General features: G+C 50.5%; 1 protein-coding gene across 11 annotated transcripts in view, besides 6 other annotated features; it reads right to left on the reverse strand.

Annotated features, from left to right (window-relative positions):
- The window catches only part of ANXA11 (annexin A11), a 54920-nt gene that overhangs the window by 15979 nt on the left and 20570 nt on the right, over positions 1-18371 (reverse strand). For 4 of the 11 annotated variants that reach the window (NM_001278407.2, NM_145868.2, XM_006717813.3 and 1 more), the window contains 6 exons: positions 9240-9288; positions 5940-6002; positions 3933-4048; positions 2102-2491; positions 359-446; positions 23-117 (listed from right to left, as the gene is read on the reverse strand). In NM_001278407.2, the coding sequence (NP_001265336.1) occupies positions 23-117; positions 359-446; positions 2102-2491; positions 3933-4048; positions 5940-5994 (744 nt within the window). In that variant the 5' untranslated portion in view covers positions 5995-6002; positions 9240-9288. Of the gene's footprint in view, positions 1-22; positions 118-358; positions 447-2101; positions 2492-3932; positions 6003-9239; positions 9289-14073; positions 14589-18371 lie in introns of those variants that run through there. The other 7 variants (NM_001278408.2, XM_047425141.1, NM_001157.3 and 4 more) reach the window with 5 other exon arrangements.
- Positions 1711-2239: an enhancer, noted in NCBI's record as "H3K4me1 hESC enhancer chr10:81928334-81928862 (GRCh37/hg19 assembly coordinates)". NCBI's record gives its function as "activates a minimal SCP1, AML or CMV promoter by ChIP-STARR-seq in naive H9 embryonic stem cells {active_cell/tissue: H9 hESC(naive)}" and the evidence as "EXISTENCE:reporter gene assay evidence [ECO:0000049][PMID:30033119]".
- Positions 2310-2429: a silencer, noted in NCBI's record as "silent region_2543". NCBI's record gives its function as "represses an Ori minimal core promoter by ATAC-STARR-seq in GM12878 lymphoblastoid cells {active_cell/tissue: GM12878}" and the evidence as "EXISTENCE:reporter gene assay evidence [ECO:0000049][PMID:35858748]".
- Positions 4509-5434: an enhancer, noted in NCBI's record as "H3K27ac-H3K4me1 hESC enhancer chr10:81931132-81932057 (GRCh37/hg19 assembly coordinates)". NCBI's record gives its function as "activates a minimal SCP1, AML or CMV promoter by ChIP-STARR-seq in primed H9 embryonic stem cells {active_cell/tissue: H9 hESC(primed)}" and the evidence as "EXISTENCE:reporter gene assay evidence [ECO:0000049][PMID:30033119]".
- Positions 9556-10057: an enhancer, noted in NCBI's record as "H3K4me1 hESC enhancer chr10:81936179-81936680 (GRCh37/hg19 assembly coordinates)". NCBI's record gives its function as "activates a minimal SCP1, AML or CMV promoter by ChIP-STARR-seq in primed H9 embryonic stem cells {active_cell/tissue: H9 hESC(primed)}" and the evidence as "EXISTENCE:reporter gene assay evidence [ECO:0000049][PMID:30033119]".
- Positions 10058-10557: an enhancer, noted in NCBI's record as "H3K4me1 hESC enhancer chr10:81936681-81937180 (GRCh37/hg19 assembly coordinates)". NCBI's record gives its function as "activates a minimal SCP1, AML or CMV promoter by ChIP-STARR-seq in primed H9 embryonic stem cells {active_cell/tissue: H9 hESC(primed)}" and the evidence as "EXISTENCE:reporter gene assay evidence [ECO:0000049][PMID:30033119]".
- Positions 11077-11577: an enhancer, noted in NCBI's record as "H3K4me1 hESC enhancer chr10:81937700-81938200 (GRCh37/hg19 assembly coordinates)". NCBI's record gives its function as "activates a minimal SCP1, AML or CMV promoter by ChIP-STARR-seq in naive H9 embryonic stem cells {active_cell/tissue: H9 hESC(naive)}" and the evidence as "EXISTENCE:reporter gene assay evidence [ECO:0000049][PMID:30033119]".

Raw genomic sequence — 18371 nt, forward strand, 5'->3', positions numbered from 1 at the left:
GCGCCCCCACCCCGCAGCTCGCCTTGCCGTAAGCCGTCTTGAAGGAAAGTAGGATCTGCTGCCGCTGCTTGTTGGAGCGACTCCCCAGGCAGTCAATGATGGCCTGCTCATCCGTCCCTGGAGGAAGAGGCAGCAGGGGTGGGTCGGGTAGGGGTCATGAGATGCTCTGCAGCTGAGACTTCCCTGGCCTGGGCCCCTCAACTGTTCTGGGCATGCTAGCCATACCCCCACATCCACCTTCTATCACCACTGGGGCCAGGTCAGCGTCCCCCAGCTACCCCAGCCCACAGAGCCACAGTGAAACTGCCTGGGAAATAGGGGGCAGGGAGTAGGATTTGAGCCACCCAGGGTCTCTTACCGAAGCCTTTCATGGCCTTCCGCAGGACCTCGGCATCTCGCAGGGGGTCAAAGCCGGGAGCATCAGTGATGGTGCCTCGGCTTCCAAACTACTCGGACAAACAGTCTCAGGTAAGATGTCGTGCATGCCGCCTTCCCCACATTCAAGGCTGCTCCACCCCTAGACTCTGGGAACAGCCCTTTCTCTAAGAGTTGGAGTATCTAAAGGAGTCCACAGTCAACAATGCAGAGGACTTTACGCCGCGTCTACCTAACTTGACTGTTATCTGGCCTTGTGTTCTAGTACTGAAGCTTTTTCCTGGCTCCAGTGGCTGGGAGCTCACCTATAGCTGAGTCCTGATGCTGAAAATCTGCCCAGTGCCCAGGTCCTCCAGGGCTGGGGCTCAGGCTCCTGATGAAGGGCAGGTCTCGGGAGCAGGGGCTGTGGCCTCTCTCATCGATGCCTGGCCTCCACAGCACATGTGAGCACACATGGGTACTCCTAACAGGGCTGGCTAGCCCATGTGTCCCCTCCAGTGGATGCAGGTATTGAGCCTCCACAACTGTGCATGGCAGCCTGATGACCTCTTGATCTAGCACTGGTTCCCTCGCACTGTTCTCTAGACTAGCATCTGCCGGACTTCCTCCAGACCCTGATAGCTGCACAAACCCGCAAACTGGAACTTTCCAGGCTAAACTGTCTCCCAGTGGATTGTCTTCCTAGGGGCTGGTACAAACTGGTTATAACACAATTAAGAGGGCAGCTCAGGGAAAAGATAAGGGAGGGAGGCTGGAGGATGGCACAGGGTGGGGGAACGTGTGGGTATGGAAGGGAAGGAGGAAAGGAGACCCTCTGTCTAAAAATAGTCATTGAGCACATACCACTACCCCTGTGCTGGCTGGTTGGGCCACAGAACCATGACAACGAATTCTAGGCTCTGCAAACACGAACTGTTCTCCAAAATGAGCCAAGATCAACCCTGGAGGAACTGCCAACATTCTCCCTACCCAAAGGGAATTTTAATAATCCTCCAAAACCTGTCTGTGCCGGGGGGGGCGGGGGTGGTGCATATCAAGGGACCGAAGACAGCTGTTGAGCACAAAGCCTTGAGACAGGTGGCCTGGGCAGTTCTTACAAAACACACAGCCCAGGCAGTAAATGACACAGAGGAATAAGGAGTACTCGCCAGGGGTGTTCTGACCCAACTCGGATGTGGAGCGTCTCATCACACCAGGAGAAACAGGACAGCTCCCTTGGGCCTTAAGCAACACAACCCAGAGGTGGGGAGTCTGCAAGAAGGTGACGCTCTTTGTTTGTCTTTTTTTGTTTTTGTTTTTGTTTTAAAAACTGGGTCTTACTCTGTCACCTAGGCTGGAGTGAGTGCAGCGGCATGATCCCGGCTCACTGCAACCTCTGTCTCCTGGGCTGAGGTGATCCTCCCACCTCAGCCTCCCGAGTAGCTGGGCCTACAGGTATGCACCACCATGCCCAGCTAATTTTTTTTCTATTTTTAGTAGAGATAGGGTTTCACCATTTCGCCCAGGTTGGTCTTGAACTCCTGGGCTCAAGCGATCTGCCCACCTCAGCTTCCCAAAGTGCTGGGATTACAGGCATGAGTCACTGCACCCGGCCGACACTATTTGTTAAAACAAGAAGTGCAGCTGGAGGCCTGCGCCTTTCCCTGTCTCCCCATCTACTGAGCCATGTGTCTCCAGCCTTTGGGGCCCAGGCCTGGACCAAGGGAGGCAGTGGGCTGACACTCACCTGGGTTGGGGGCACAGCGGGGGTGACAGTCCCAGACCCCGGGTATCCTGGGTAGCTCGGCACTGGCTGCTGCTGCCCAGGGAGTGGCACTGGAGGCTGACCAGGGTAGGTCACTGGTGGCTGCCCAGGGTAGGCCCCTGGGGGCTGCTGTCCGGGGGGTGGCATGGGCTGGCCCGGCACAGGGGCCCCTGGGTATGGCGGATATGAGGGCATCCTGGAGGGTGGGTTTCCTCCTGGGGGTGGATACATCCCATAGGGAGGAACAGGCTGCTGGGCAGAGGGGGGCTGCCCAAAGCCGCCAGGGGGCACTGGTGGGTAGCCAGCCCCAGGGGCCCCAGGGTACAGGTTGGGCATGTTGGCTCCTCCAAATGTCCCAGACATGTTGGCCGCCTGCAAGGACACAAAGCAGAGCCTGAGGCCAATGGGCCCTGCTGCACTCCGTCCCTCCACCCTTTTTCATACCTAAGCCAAGTCAGTCCTCACAGCATCTCCGCTTGTGGAATATGAAGTACCGTTATACCCATTTCACAGACCACAGAATGAGTTTACTTGCTCAAAGTTACACAGCCAGTGAACAGTGCGACTCGATCCAAACCAGAGATCCTCATCCCCTTCTGCAGGGGAGATGCCTTCCCTCTCCACATGGTTGCTCCTCCCATCCCAGACCACCTGGGTGAAGGTTAAGAGCTCACTGCCCAAGAAGGTGCGTGGGTCCCATATGCAGGGTTGGGGGCATCCCCATCACATCAGCCTGCTACCCACAGACACCTCTGGCAGGCATGTTCAGGTGAATCTGCACTCACCAGGAATAAAAACCTAAATCCTTAGGATGGATAGCCTCCTACACCCTGCAAGAGCTAGACCCCCAGACTTCATTTCCCATCTCACCCCCTCGCCTTTCCACTTTAGCCACACTGGCCTCTCCTCCCTGTCCCTGAGCACCTCACACCCCTTGGCACCTCAGGGCACCGGCATTCCCTAGACATCCATACAGCACTTCCTTCCCCTGATGCAGGTCTTTGCTCACACATCCTCTTTTCAGCCAGACCCACCTTACTGCTAACTTAAAATCATTATCCTTACATCACCCCACCCCCACTCCTGACCCCTTTACCCTGGTCAACTTGTTCCTATGGCACCTACACTTTCAATAACATCACATCGTTGACTTAAGGTACTGCCTGTCTTTTCCCCATAGATGATAAGTGCAGCACGGCTGAGATTTTTGTTTGTTTTATTCACATATCCCCAGTGCCTAGAACTGGGCCTGGCACAAATTAGGGTGTGTATTGGTTGCATAATTTCCTCTAAGCATACGTTTGTTTTCAAATCATAAACTAAGCATACGTTTGTTTTCAAATCATAAAATGTATTATTTTAAAAGTGAAACAACAAATTTAAAAAGTAGCATGTCTGCCCAAGATACCTGCCACACACCCACCAAGGCCTAACCAGAAGAGCCCTCCATATGTACACACATGCACATGCAGGTATATGAATGTGGATACTCATACATAGCACGTGCATGCACACTCATGCAGATACCCTCGCCACCTTCCCAACCCTAACCCCTCAGGGCTGAAAGGGACCTGTGAGATCATCTGGTCCCCTTCCCCTCATTTTACAGATGGGAAAAGTGAGACCCAGAGAGGGGCAGAGAGCAGGTGGCAGAAGCCTGATGAAAACCCTGTTCTAAGGTACAGCTCAACACACTACACACCACAGCAACACACACATAGACAACTCTGGAGCCCCAGAGGCCAGCAGCTTTGATTCCTCTGGCCACGCAGGTGTGGCCCCAGGGCTGCCTCAGCAGGAGAGCTGGACTCACCATTCCCGAGAGATAGTCCTGGTTGAACTGCCCCGCATAGGTGGCCACGTTATCCAGCCCGATGGGGGGCATGCTGGGCGGAGGAGGGTAGGCAGCACCTCCCCAGGGACCACCACCTGAAAGCAACACCAAGCCCTTTAGCCCCCTGCCAGTCCCCCACCACACGGGGAAAGGCAGAGATGAGAGCTCCCAGGTGGTCAGAAAGGGAGGCCCAGTAAAGCCTCGAGCCTCGAGCCTCGGGACACCACAGACCACATGAAAACACCAGGAGGAAAGTCTCCCCCTATCCCACTGGCAGAGGAGGGGAAACCTTCCCCTCTTCCCAGGGAGGAAGGTGGAGTTCCCCAAACACTCCCAAGACCCTCTGTGGGGTATTAAGGAGGCTGGGAGAGCCCAGGCAGGCTCTGCCCTCCCAAGTTCACCATCATGGAGCAGGAGGACAGACAAGGACAGACTGTTGTGGGACACCATGCTGAGCCCATGACAGAGGTGACCATAGGGAGCTCTGAGATTTCAGTAATGCGAAGGCACTGGCGGGAGGGGGTTTGGCTGTTTGCTATTACAAGTCTGTAAAAGGCAGGGAGAAGCAGGATAAGAGGCTGGAGGGACATGGGGCTGGGTCATGGTAAACACAGATACCAGTCCACAAGAGGACAGGAAGAAACAGAGGTGAAAAGCCCGCTCTGAAACCAGCAGGACCGGTATGTGCCCTGGGGCAAGGCTTTCACCCTCCTTAGGCTTGTTTCCTCAGCTTACAAATGGGCTAATGGTGAGTGTATGCCTAGACTGCTGTGACGAAGACTGAGTTAACACCTGCAGGGCTCAGCTGGGTGCCCGATGGGCATTCGACATCATCATGGGGCCTCTGGCCTGTTAGATGCTTTCCTCTACATGGCAGCTTCGGATCGGCTCTTCATCTCCAGGGCTCCAGACCCTCCAGGAAGAACCTTCCCTAAATTTCCTGCCTCCTCCTCTCTTGCTGCTCAGAGGCTGCTCAGCTGTGCTAGCAAAGGTGGCAGTGGCAGGATCTGGATGGCAGGATTTCTACTATAGAGAGAGAACCCAGGCCAGTGCCAGCCAACCTGGGGTGGGCTCATTCAGAGGGCAGTGGCCCAGCTCAGCCCCTAACATGCCCTGGGACAGCAGCTGAGCCACCTCTAGGTCTGAGTCTGTTCTTCACCTGCTGAATGGGAGGGAAGGTAAATGGCCTGCAGGTCTGGGGTGTTCAAACCACAGGACCTCAGCTCCAAAGAAATCAATGATGCCTAGGAGTCCCCTGGGGAGAGGGGCAGCGGCTCAGGCACCCTCAGGATGACCAGCCTTGGAATGACCCTTTTCTCCCCTTGGTCTCATGAGCCCTCATATTTCCTTTCCCACAGTGGGGACCAAATCTCATTTGAGGACCAAAAGGGGCCAGGGCCAGAGAAGACGACTTCTCCATGTGACTACCCACAGCTCCTGCAGAAAACAGGGAGTGACCTTTGACCCTTAGCATCTGCCTCCACTTCCTCTCTTGGCAAGGGGGATCTTGTTGCTGCAAACCCACACACCTTGAGCAGAGGGTAGGAGAGGTGGTAAGGGGCAACCATCACCTAGCAATGCTTTGGAGGACACCGTGTCGCTCTGCCTGCCTATCTCATCAGTATCCAGGACCACCTAATGAGGGAGAAATCCTTGAAGCAATTTTGCGGAGAAGAAAACTGAGTCTCAAAGTGACAGCATTTGCCCACTGTTACTAGAGAGTAAGGCAAGAGACCCAGCCCTGGGCCTGGTCCAGGGCTTTCTGGAGGCAGTTTCAAACCTAGGCCTCCGATGGCCTTAGTGTCATGCTCTTCTCCAGCCCCTGCCTCGGCTGGCTGTCCCACTACTCCTGTTGTCCTCTCCTCCCCTGCTGGGCCGTGCTGTGAGGGGAGGAGGGGAGTGAGGAAACTACTGTTCTCCCCTCTCCACTCCCAGCCACTGTACAGAGGCAGCATTCACTCTCCTCCCCACCCCAGACCCTCTTACCTGGTGCAGCTGGTGGGTAGCCACCTGGGGGCGGGGGATAGCCAGGGTAGCTCATGGTTAGATCTGGAAGAGAAGACGAAAGCACATTCAGGCTCTGCCTGAGAGCCCCTGCTGGCCCGTGGGACCCAGCTTCTTGAAAGGGCAGCCACCACCACAACTGGGACCCTGCAGAAGAAACTGCTGCATCTGCCCTGCTTGTCGCAGACCAGTTCACTGTCTCCTGCTGGTGCCTCCAGCTAGAAACAGTACCCACCAGCATGCTGCCTGACTTCTGGGCCAGGGCCACACCCCCGGCCCCACCCACAGTGACAGGATTCACTCCCCATGAGCCAGTTTCCTTGAAAGGCCCTCTCACTGAAGCTTTGCTCCTGCCTCTGCTGGCAAGGGTGCAGTGCGCCTCTGGGCCTGTTCTCCCACCTCAGAGGTAGAGACGCACTGCCTCATTCTCAGGACTCCAGGTCTGTCTATTTATCTTCCTGTGTCCTTATTGCCATCCCTCCAGCAACAGGGGAAGTCAGAGGCCCCTGTCTCTCTTCATTCTCCAACCTCTGGTTCATCAGGCAAGGGGACCTGGTAAGGTATGGAATCATCGTTCCTAGAAGCAAAAAGGGCCCTCAGGAGGTTCATCTGATGCAGGGTGAAGAACCAGGGCAAATGAGGCAGCATCACCCTGTTTCTGCAGTAGAGGCTGCTGATTAAGAGAAGTAAGTGATTTGCAGATCTGTCAGTAAGGGAGGAAGAGCAGCCTGGACAGGTGCCAGGTGAGACACCTGCTCTCACGAAGTCCCTCTGAACACGGATCCCTTGGCAATGTCCCCTGCCAGTTAAATTGTGAGGAGGGACACAGATCTGCTGTGACACCAGCCACATTGTGCAACCTGCCTGCTCTTGCTAATAGCAGCTGCTGCTGCAGTCTGCAGAGACACCCAATGGCAGGCGGACATGTGAGGAAACCTGCAGGGTCCCTCAACAATCACACCTGCTCGTCTCGAGTATGTGGCTTCTTTTTACACACTGGGTTTCACGCTGCAATGCATATCAGAATCACCTGATGGGATTGTTAAAACACATTGCTGGGCTCCACCACCAAGAGTTTCTGAGACAGTGGAACCAGTTTTTGCATTTGGAACAAGTTTCCAGATGATGTTACTGGTCCAGGGAACTCACTTTGAAGACCACTGTTCTAGCCACGCTATCCAACTATAAGAGTCTAGCTGCCCTTCATATCTATCTTGAAGAACTGGGCATATTGGGTTTTGTTTGTTTGAGACAGGGTCTCGCTCTGTCACCCAGACTGGAGTGCACTGGCACAATCATGGCTCACTGCAGCCTGGACCTCCTGGGCTCAGGTAATCCTCCCGCCTCAGCCTCCTAAAGACATGTGCCACCACACACAGCTAATTTTTTTTTTTGAGAGTCTTACTATGTTGCCGAGGCTGGTATATGCTGTTCTTTTTAAGTTTTTTTATTATTTATTTTTATTTTTTTGAGACAGGGTCTCACTCTGTAACCCAGGCTGGAGTGCAATGGTGTGATCTCGGCTCACTGCAACCTCTGCCTCCTGGGTTCAAGTGATTCTCCTGCCTCAGCCTCCCAAGTAGCTAGGATTACAGGCGCCCGCCATCATGTCTGGCTAATTTTTGTATTTTTAGCAGAGACAGGGTTTCACCATGTTGGCCAGGCTGGTCTCGAACTCCTGACCTCAGGTGATCTGCCTGCCTCGGCTTCCCAAAGTGTTAAGATTACAGGCATGAGCCACCATGCCTGGCCTACTTTTATTTTTTAAACAGCGTCTCACTCTATCACCCAGGCTGGAGTGCAGTGGTGCGAGCTCAGCTCACTGTAACCTCCGCCTCCTGGGATCAAGGGATTCTTGTGCCTCAGCCTCCAACAGGAGGGCGCAACCATCCCTGGCTAATTTTTGTATTTTTAGTAGAGATGGAGTTTCGCCATGTTGGCCAGGCTGGTCTGAACTCCTGGCCTCAAGTGATCTGCCCGCTGCGGCCTCCCACAGTGCTGGGATTACAGGCATGAGCCACTGTGCCCAGCCTACATGCTGTTTTTAAGGAAGCTAAAGAACTTCCTTAAGGTACCACCGGTCCCCATAGGGTGGGCCTGGTTTTCAGCCCTACGGGTGTAGTCATTTGTTTGGGTCAGTGGGTCCAGAGGTGACCGTAGGCAAAGCCCTATGGCTTTGGAGAAAGCTGGAATTGGCTCCCTGTAGTGTGGACCAAGGACCTACTCCTTGCAGTTTTCGGTCTCTCTGAGCCCCTAAGCACGTGGTGGATGAGGTCCCCGGTGGCATCACCTTCAGAGAGGGTGTCCCTGAGGCTGGGTGGGCTGTCAGTACAAAGCCCTCCCCGTCCCGGCCCCAGCCTGACCCTTCTGCCCAGACTCTGCCAAACCCTCAGACTTCACTGGTGAGGAGGTAATCTGGGGGATGTAAATGACCAGTAGGCCAGGAACCTTCTAATAGAAGGAACTGCCCGACAGGTGAGCAGGAAGAGCCGGGATGGTGTCTCTGTCACCTTCCTCTCTGGAGACACCACTAGGCAGGACCTTTGAGCACCAAAGACACTCTCCACTCCTGGCCTCCTCTCAGAGAAATGAAGCCAAAAGCTCCATCCACAGCCAGGCCAGGGAAAAAACCCAAGAAACAGAAGCTGGATACCACCCTGTTCCTTATACCAAGTAAATTCCAGCCAGGCCAAATAATGCAGTGAAAGAAGTAGCCCCAAAAACCAACGACATAAATAAAATTTCAGCATAAGAGACAAATTAAAAAAAAATAAAGATGAGAAAAAAACTTAGGAAAAAAGTTTTATTAATATAATAAGAAAAAGATCAATAACCACTAGAGAAACTGTCAAATGATGTGAACAGATCTGGCAGTTACAGAAAAGGAGCTGAAGATGCTCACCTTCACCAATGTGCTGAGGAAATCACCAATTAAAAATACACAGATGTCGGCTGGGCGCAGTGGCTCATGCCTGTAATCCCAGCACTTTGGGAGGCCGAGGTGGGCAGATCACCTGAGGTCAGGAGTTCGAGACCAGCCTGGCCATGGTGAAACACTGTCTCTACTAAAAATACAAAAATTAGCCAGGCGTGGTGGTGGGTGCCTGTAATACCAGCTACTCGGGAGGCTGAGGCAGGAGAATGGCTGGAACCTGGGAGGCGGAAGTTGCAGTGAGCCAAGATTATGCCACTGCACTCCAGCCTGGGTGACAGAGCGAGACTCCGTCTCCAAAATAAATAAATAAATAAAATACAAAGATATCAAAACTTAAAATGACATACCTTTGACTCAGCAACTCCACTTCTGTAAGTCTCTTCCCCAGACACACACCTGTGTGAAATGTCATACAGACATGAATTTTACTACAGCCTTATCTGCAACAACTCCTAAACCTCCACCAATGAGGCTGGTTAAATAAACCACAACAGATCCAACAATGGATACTCTGTAGCTATTTCTGGATTTAGCCAGCTCTGTATATGGAAAGATGCAATGACCACCATTATTAATCAAGGTGCAGTACTGTGTATGTACTAAGCTAATAAAAAACCCAGAAACATACAAACTAAGTGGTTCCTGAGTGTAGACGTGCACGGACATCCTTGGAATGACACACAAGAAACTAGCTAACACTAGCTGCCTCTCGAGAGGAAAGGTGGGGCTAGAAAATGAGGCTTCCGGTTTAGATCTGTTCCCTGTGCATTTCTGCTGCATGTATGTATTGGCCATTAAACAACTTTTAAAAAGGCCCAATTCAGGTGCAGATTTCTGAGCTCACTTGAGGCTAGCCGTCTGGCCCCCAAAGTCCTGGCTGGTCTTCCAAGACTAAAAGAACACACACAGGGTCCATTCAGTTCCAGGCAGCCTTGGTAACCCTGGAGGGCCTGCAGGCCAGCCTTGATGGCGCTCGTGGAGCTCATTCTTGGGGTGGCTTTTAAGGGAGTTCCCAGCAGGAGTCAAAATCTGCCTCCTGGCTAGGAGCTCTGCCCTGCATGGCCCCACAGGGCAGGTCGACCCCACTGTGAGCTGTGGTCCTGCGACCCTGGGTCTTCCCCTCTCCCCAAGATATACCTCTAGTCCTCCGTTCTTAGAAAGAATAGCCTCATTTTTCCCTCTGTCATTCTCTGCCTGAAATAGTTTCAAGCCTGCTCCCCACTTTTTTTTTTTTTTTTGAGACGGAGTCTCACTGTGTCACCCAGGCTGCAGTGCAGTGGCGCAATCTCAGCTCACTGCAACCTCCACCTCCTCGGTGCAAGCAATTCTCCTGCCCTAGCCTCCCAAGTAGCTGGGACTACAGGCACCTGAGGCACCTGCCACCACACCAGGCTGATTTTTGTATTTTTAGTAGAGACAGAGTTTCACTATGTTGGCCAGGCTGGTCTCGAACTCCCAACCTCAGATGATCCGCCCGCCTCAGCCTCCCAAAGTTCTGGGATTACATGCCTGGCCTGACCCCACTCTTATCTTTTAGTTCTTTTCAGGACCAAACGCCCCAGGTATGGTCTGAAGAGTGCAGGGCGGGACCTTCATCTCCCTCCAGTGGATGCTACTCCCTACCTCCCCGGACTGGTACAAGTGGGTTTTCAGGCCACGGAGACCTTATGTGGGCTCCTGTGAAATTTCTCCCCTGGGTTCTGCCCATTGCTCCAGTCTCCTGAGACCTTCTGGGATTCTGCTCAACATCAAACATCTTCCCCCTCTCTCTCAGCTTTGTTTTACATCCATGGATGCAATAAGCATGGCATTTGTGTTCTGCCAAGTAACCAAGACGAAAGGGACAACGAGGGACACTACAGAACTGTCATACTCAGAACTCCCCAGTTCAACATCAAACACTAGGCATCATGTGGGTGCAGGCATTTAACCAGCTCTCCCCCAACTCACTCTGCCACCACCCAGTACACATTTCTCCACATGCCCAAGTGAGGGTTCTAGCACATTTACTCTGAAGAGAGCCTGTTTATCTGCCTAATTACCCCCAGGAGAAAAGTAAACGCAGCCCAATAGCCAGGGGTGACCTTCAGGTGGACACAGGCTCCCAGCGCTGACCAATCTCCCCCCAAGCTATCCATGTTCTAGGAGGCTAGAGGCTGCAGGATTAGCACACTGCTCTCTGACTCACAGAAGCAGCATTCTTCTCCTCCTTTTCTTTGAAAATTAAGAAATCTGCTCATGGTCCAGTCTTCTGGTAACTGTGACCTCTGCATTTTTTCAAAAGAGGCTACCGCAAGGGGCTGTCCTTGGAGAAGTCGTTCCTGGCACCCCAGGGCTGCCATATCTGGGCTCGGCAAGACTTCTAAGGCCCTCGGGTCCCCCTCCCTAGCCTGTCCAGCACCCACTCCCCAGGAGAGAGGCAACACAGTGAGCTATAATCCAGAAGATCTGCTCTCTCTCTCTCTCTCTCTCTCTGGCATCCATGAGAATCATACCTTTCACCCTGACCAATGCCTCTCTCCTCCTTTCCTTGCATGGGGCAAGAGACATGCTTCACACTGCTGGTGCAATTCTGATGGCTGGGGCATGTCCCCCGCTCTACGCCTGCTTCTAATCACGGCCCTCTGACATGGGGACTCACTGGAGAGGGCCTCCTGCACACAGCAGGCAGCTGGCCTCCTTAAGGATGGGTCCAATTCTTAGAAACCTGTCTCTGGGGACCTTCTGGCCTCTGGTCCTGCCTCTCAGGGCAGGCTGCAGCACAAATACCGCCCTTCCTTCCTCACTGCGACCATCCACCTGCAGCTGTGCACCTGATTTCATCCAGCTGGGGCCCTCTCCAGTTAAATCGGTGCTTCTGGAAAACAGTCCCCTATAGGGCTTGTTAAAACACAGATTGCTGGGCCCCACCTCCAGAGTCTTTGAATCAGTGTCTCTGGGGCAGGGCCCAAAAAGTTGCATTTCCAGTGGCTCCCAGGTGATGCTGATGCTGCCTGCCTGCAGGCCACACTGCTTCATCATGCATGATAATCACCTGGAGAGCTCACTAAACATGCTAGCGCCCTAGCCCCCATATTCTGGGCCTTCTAACCTGGGATAGGCCCAGGAATCTGAAGTGTAAACAAGCATACATACCCCCCAGTCCCCAGTAATTCTGATGTAACTGGTTCTGTGGTCCACACTCTAGGAAACACTCTTTCCCTTAAGGTATTGGACACTCTCTAGCTCATCTGATCTCACTCTTTGACATGGTTTGGATTTGTGTCCCTGCCCAAATTGTAATTTCTAATTACAATACAATCGAATTGTAATTCCCAGCATTGGAGGTGGGGCCAGGTGGGAGCTGACTGGATCATGGGGGCAGATTTCCCCCTTTGGTGCTGTTCTCATGATAGGGTTCTGGTGAGATCTGGTTGTTTAAAAGCGTGTAGCGCCTCCTCCCCACACCTCTCTTCCTCCTGCTCCAGCCAGGTTAAGATCTGCCTGCCACATGATTGTAAGTTTCCTGAGGCCTCCCCAAGCAGATGCCAGCATCATGCTTTCCCTCACTTGGAGAGCTGGCTAAAAATGCTGGTACCTTGGCTCCCATATTCTGGGCCCTTCAACCTGGCATAGGCCCAGCCTGCAGAACTGTGAGCCAATTAAACCTCTTTTCTTTATAAATTACCCAGTTTCAGATATTTCTTTATAGTCGTGTGAGAATGGACGAATATACTCTTCTTCACAATAGTAAGCTCTAGGGACACAGACTAGACCTAGGCACCCCCACAGTTGTATGACAGATGCACCTGACAGCAATCACTTAAGCATACCCAGAACGACCCTATAGTCTAAGAAGAATGTGTGTTCAGAGTTCTGAGCTGAGGAACTGTGGCCAACCTGGAGATCCATTCCTTATCTATAAGGAACATCAGAACCCCTAAGCCATTCCATGGCCATACAGGAGATCAAGGCCCTTTGTTCTGCGTTAAATGAAGGTTGCCAGGTGGAGGTGGTTAGGAAGGAGGATGCTAAATTAAAATGCTATACAAACTGCATGCTTTTTACAAATAGTAGTGGTCCTTCCATCCAGCCTGCTGCCACTGGACCGCCCCATATGTAAGTCCCCTCAATAAGCCCTATGCCTTGTTCGTTGGCTCTGGGTCTCTTCTTCGGCCTCTCAAACATGGTGCCATCCCTATTAAAGTTGACAGGAGTCTGGCATGACAGCACTGCATCAGAAGCCAGCCTCAAAGCGTCTGGTGAATGCCAAAAGCATAGAGCAGCTATCTGGGGGTGCTTCTCAGTGGCTGCAAAATGGCCTGTTCCCTAAAGCCATGTTACGTGTACGTAAGTGTACCATTCAACTCCACAGGCTCTAAAAGGGTACTAGCTGGAGTCCCCTAACACAGGAATCTAGAAATGCTACACTGGGACAGGAGGCAACTGCCAGAGCAAGAAGAGCCTCACTGCCCCGACTCAGTCATCCCCCTACCAAAAGGGAAGCCTTGCTGTGTCTCTACCCAACAATTGGAGGTGGAGATATGGGCTCCAGCCACCAGCAAGGCTAGGCCATGCACATTTGCTGGTGTCCTGCCTGACTTCAGGGATACAGAAGGGAAAGGAGGGGTGGATGGTGTCAGTGCCATGCCTGGGACTCTGGACTGTCCTCCCCAGAAAGACAACACAGGGCTCATTTGGGAACAGAGCCTACACCAGGTTAATGCTGAGAGGCAAGGGCCTAGAAACATCATCTCGGGCCAGAAGCCACACAGCAGTGACACCCCCTGCCCCTCAGGGCCTAACAGCAAACCAAGCAGACCGGGACTACAGTGGATGCTTTCATGGAGTGATTTTCCACTGGCCTTCCCCAGTCTGGTGGCTGGAATATTGATTTGTATATTAGTTTTTTTTTTTTTTAACATTAGATCCTTAACCTGTTTTTACACACACACACACAATTTATTTTTTAAAATACTTTCCCCATAAGGTTGTATCCATAAAATTTAAATATATCATTGCTATTGTTTAAATGTATCCCCCAAAGTTCATGTGCTGCAAACTTAATGGTCAATACAACAGTTCTGAGAGGCGGTACTTTTAAGAGGCTCTACCCTCACGAATGGATTAATGTGTTATGGAGGAAGTGGGCTCCTTACCACCAGTGTGTTTGTTACAAAAGTATAACATGCTCTCTCTTACCCGCATGATGTCTTCTGCCATGTTATGAAGCAGCAAGAAGGCCCTTGCCAGATGCAGCCTCACGATCTTCTCAGCCTCCAGAACTGTGAGCCAAATAAGCTACTATTGCTTATAAATTACTCAGTCTGTGATATTTTGTTAGAGCAGCACAAAATTAACTAAGACAATAGTTTAAACCAGGCAGGTCCAATAATCCCTGCTGATATATTCTTTAAAATGACAAGATGAGGCCAGGCACAGTGGCCCATGCCTATAATCCCAGCACTTTGGGAGGCTGACGCAGGCAGATCATTTGAGCTCAGAAGTTTGACACCAGCCTGGGCAACATAATGAGACCCTGTCGTTACAAAAATAAAATACAAAAAAATTAGCCGAGCACCATGGCATGCGACTGTGGTCCCAGCTACTCTACTCAGGAGGCTGAGGCAGGAGAATCATTTGAGCCTGGGAGGTGGAGGTTGCAGTGAGCCCAGATCACGCCATTGCACTCCAGCCTGGGCGATGGAAGTGAAACCCTGTCTCAAAAAAATAAAAAATAAATAAATAAAATAAAATGAAAGGAAGGAAAAACAAGCCATAGAATGGGAGAAAATAAATGCAAAAGACATATCTGATAAAGGGACTATTATCCAAAATATACAAAGAACTCTTAAATCTCAACAAGAAAACCTTACGATTTAAAAAATAGGCAAAAGACCTGAACAGACACTTCACCAAAGAGGATATAAGGTGGCAAATAAGCATATGAAAAGACGCTCAACATGTCATTAATAAATTGCAAATGAAAACAATAAGATACTACTATACACCTATTAGAATGGCCAAAATCCAAAACACTGATAACACCAAATGCTGGTGAGGATACAGAGCAACGGGAACTTTCATTCATCGCTGGTGGGGATGTAAAGCGGTATAGGCACTTTGGAAGACAGTTTGGTGGTTTCTTACAAAACTAAACATAGTTTTACCAATGATCCAGCAATCATGCTCTTGGTATTTACCCAAATAAGTTGAAAACTTCTGCCGCACACAAAACCTGCTCATGGACATTCACAGTAGTGTTATTCATAATGGCCAACAATTTGGAAGCACCCAAGGTTACACACTGTATAATTCTAACTCTACGATATTCTGGAGAAAGCAACTATGGTGACAGCAAAAAGATGAGTAGTTGCCAGAGGTCAGGGGAGGAAAGAATGAATAGGTGGATCGATGTTGCTTCCCTGATTGTAACAATATACCACTGTGGTGGGAGTGCTAATGGCGGGGGGTGCAAGTGTGGGGGCAGGGGGACAGGGAAACTCTGTGGTTTCCACTTAATTTTGCTGTAAATCTATAACCACTCTAAAAAATAAATTTTATTTAACAAATAAAAGGAATACAAGCACACTGTAGGGAAATTCAAACAGAATAGAAACACACAAAATGAAAAGCAAGCATTCTTCCCTCTATCCTTGTACACAAAGGTCACCACCAAGCAGTTTTCAACGTACAGTTTAAAACACACAGAAATGTATAATACATGTATATATATTTACATAAATATATAAATGTATATGCATATGTGTTTATACATGCTCAGATATATGTACATTTTGTTTTGGCTTTAAGTTCTGGGATACATGTGCAGAACATGCAGGTTTGTTACATAGTTATACATGTGCCATGGTGGTTTGCTGCACCTATCAACCTGTTACCTAGGTTTTGAACCCCGCATGCATTAGGTATTTGTCCTAATGCTCTCCCTCCCTTGGCCTCCCATTCCCCATATATGTACATAATTTTTTTAAAAGAGGAAAGAAACTGACGCATCTGCAAACTCTCTTCACTCCGGGAGAAGGCTCGGCTCTGGTTAAGTAATGTCTCAGGTGATAATGTGATATAAGAAATATATATCTGGCAGTCTTGTGGGACTGAGCCCTTTAACCTATAGGGTCTGCAGTGACTCCAGTTAGGGTCAGAATTGAGCTGCATTATAGGACACCCAGTTAGAGTCAGAGAATTGGTCAGTGTGGGGAAAAAAAACACACATCTGGTCGCAGGGTGAAGTGTTGAGAGTTTTGCTTGGAGTTTTCCTTCTTAGTTCACATTCCGACCTGGTGCCCCTCCTGGCATGGGCTGGGGAAATGAAGACTTACTTAGCCCTGAGCTGATGTGAGTGGCTCACGACCTCCACACAGTGCCCTGTGAGTGGCTAGGCACTCGTCCCAGGTCACTGGGCAGGAGAGAGGGAGGCACCAGGCTAGAGCAAGGTGCAGACAAGGGCCTGGAGCCCAGAACTCAAGATGGAAGGTCTAAGACGAGGCAGAAACGTCTACTACGGTAGTCCTGTTCCAAGGATCTCAGCCAGAAAAGGATCTCAGCCAGCAACCTGAGGCCAGGCCTCCTCTCCCAGACCTCACTTGACCCATGGGCAAAACCAGGGGCAACCCTTTTTGAGGTCCTTCCTTCCTCTGGGATCTCAGGATTTCTGAAGGGGGCCTCTTTCAGCTTTCACCCCAAATCCTAGACTTACAGACTCACAAAATGTCCACATTGGAAGGGATCATGTTCTAACTTCCTCAGCTTTGCAGCTAAAATACACCAGGGACATGGCTTGCTCACATCACACGGGTGTGGCGGAGAGGGTCCATGGTAGAGCTTGGCCTGCAGGCAGCTGACGACAAAACCTGACATCCCCTCACAGTGCTGCATTGCAAAACGTGTGCCACTTCTGTCCAAGCTGAGCTGGCTTCACTGGTGGTCCCAGTGGGCCCTGCCCTTGGCAACCTACTTGAAGACCCCTCCTCCAAGGGCAAAAGGAGACAGTGCAATAAGCATGCTTTAAACAAGGGTCTGCCAAGGCCACTCCTCACAGCCAGAAGGTTCCAGAAACCCTCAGTGCATCAGCTCACAGTTCCCCCATAACTATGAAGACGAGGGAAGGCAGATAGAGCCCAAGCTCTGCCCCACACACCCCTTCAGTGGCAGGAGCTGGCCCCAGGGGACCATGTACCTAACTGTGGCTGTGGAATTCCATGGAGTGAGCCACAATCCTAATTAATCCATTAATCACAGAGGCGGTGATTAATAATGGTCGACTTTTTTCACAAAGTTTTGTTATGGAGCACATATATAAAACAGAACAGTTTAATAAACCATCATCCCTCAGCTTCAACAATTATCACCTCAAGGCCCATCTTGATTCATCCCGAACCCCACCCACACCCCTGTATTGTTTTGAAGCAAATCCCAGACATCATATATTATTTCATCTGTAACTGTTCATATCTCTAAATGTTAGGAACTTTAAATATAAATACATACAGATGCTCCTTGACTTATGATAGGGTTACATCCAAATAAAGCCATCATGAGTTGAAAATGCATTTAATGCTGGCAACACAGCAGTCCCCAACTTATGATGGTTCGACTTATGATTTTTCAACTTTATGATGGTGCAAGAGTGACATGCACTCAATAAAAACCGTAGCCTCATTGTAACCCCATCAAAAGTGGAGGAGCTGGTTACATCCCTTCTGAAAGTGATGTAACCCCATCATAAAGTTGAAAAACTGTAAGTTCAACCATCTTGAGTCAGGGACCGTGTGTGTGTGTGAGAGAGAGACAGAGAGTGTGTTTATATAACTAATACGAGAGAGAGAGACAGACAGACAGACAGTGTGTTTATATAACTATAATACAGCTGGGACTCTAAGTTGAGATCAGGCTTCTACATCAGCAAAAGACTCAGGTGCTGATTCACCTTAGGAAGAGTATGAGCTTGGAATGCTTGAGGGGGCACTTGTCAATACAAGAGGGCCAGAAAACCAACCTCCCCAGGACTCTTCCAGGACCACTGAGCTCTACCTAGTGGTGATGCTGCCAACCATCTGCAAATGTTTTCCAGAGTCAAAAATGCAGTCCCACAGCCTTGTTTACCACTGTTACCCCAGCATCTGGCTGAATGTGCACCTCATAAATGCAGCTTGAGTGGAAGAATGGATGGAGTTCTGGGGACTGGCCTCTGCTTTGCCAGTTAGTCAATTTTCTCCTTTATAACCTCTTCCTTCATTGGCTCCTGAGATTATTTAAGTATCAAATAGGATGTATTTGGCCTGCAGGGCAAGGAACAGCATAATAAACACTTATAAATCCAAGGATCTCAGCAAGGACATCACACTCCCACAATATGCATTTTGGCCTTCTGTAGAGCAGAACCCACCTGGTGCATGACAGTCAACTGATGGACAGCTTGTTCATTTTCACTATAAGTCTGTTTGCTTCTGAACACCTACCATCTACTGCCCCCAGAAGTC

The sequence above is a fragment of the Homo sapiens genome, chromosome 10, assembly GCF_000001405.40.
Source record: "Homo sapiens chromosome 10, GRCh38.p14 Primary Assembly".
NCBI classification, from domain to species: domain Eukaryota; kingdom Metazoa; phylum Chordata; class Mammalia; order Primates; family Hominidae; genus Homo; species Homo sapiens.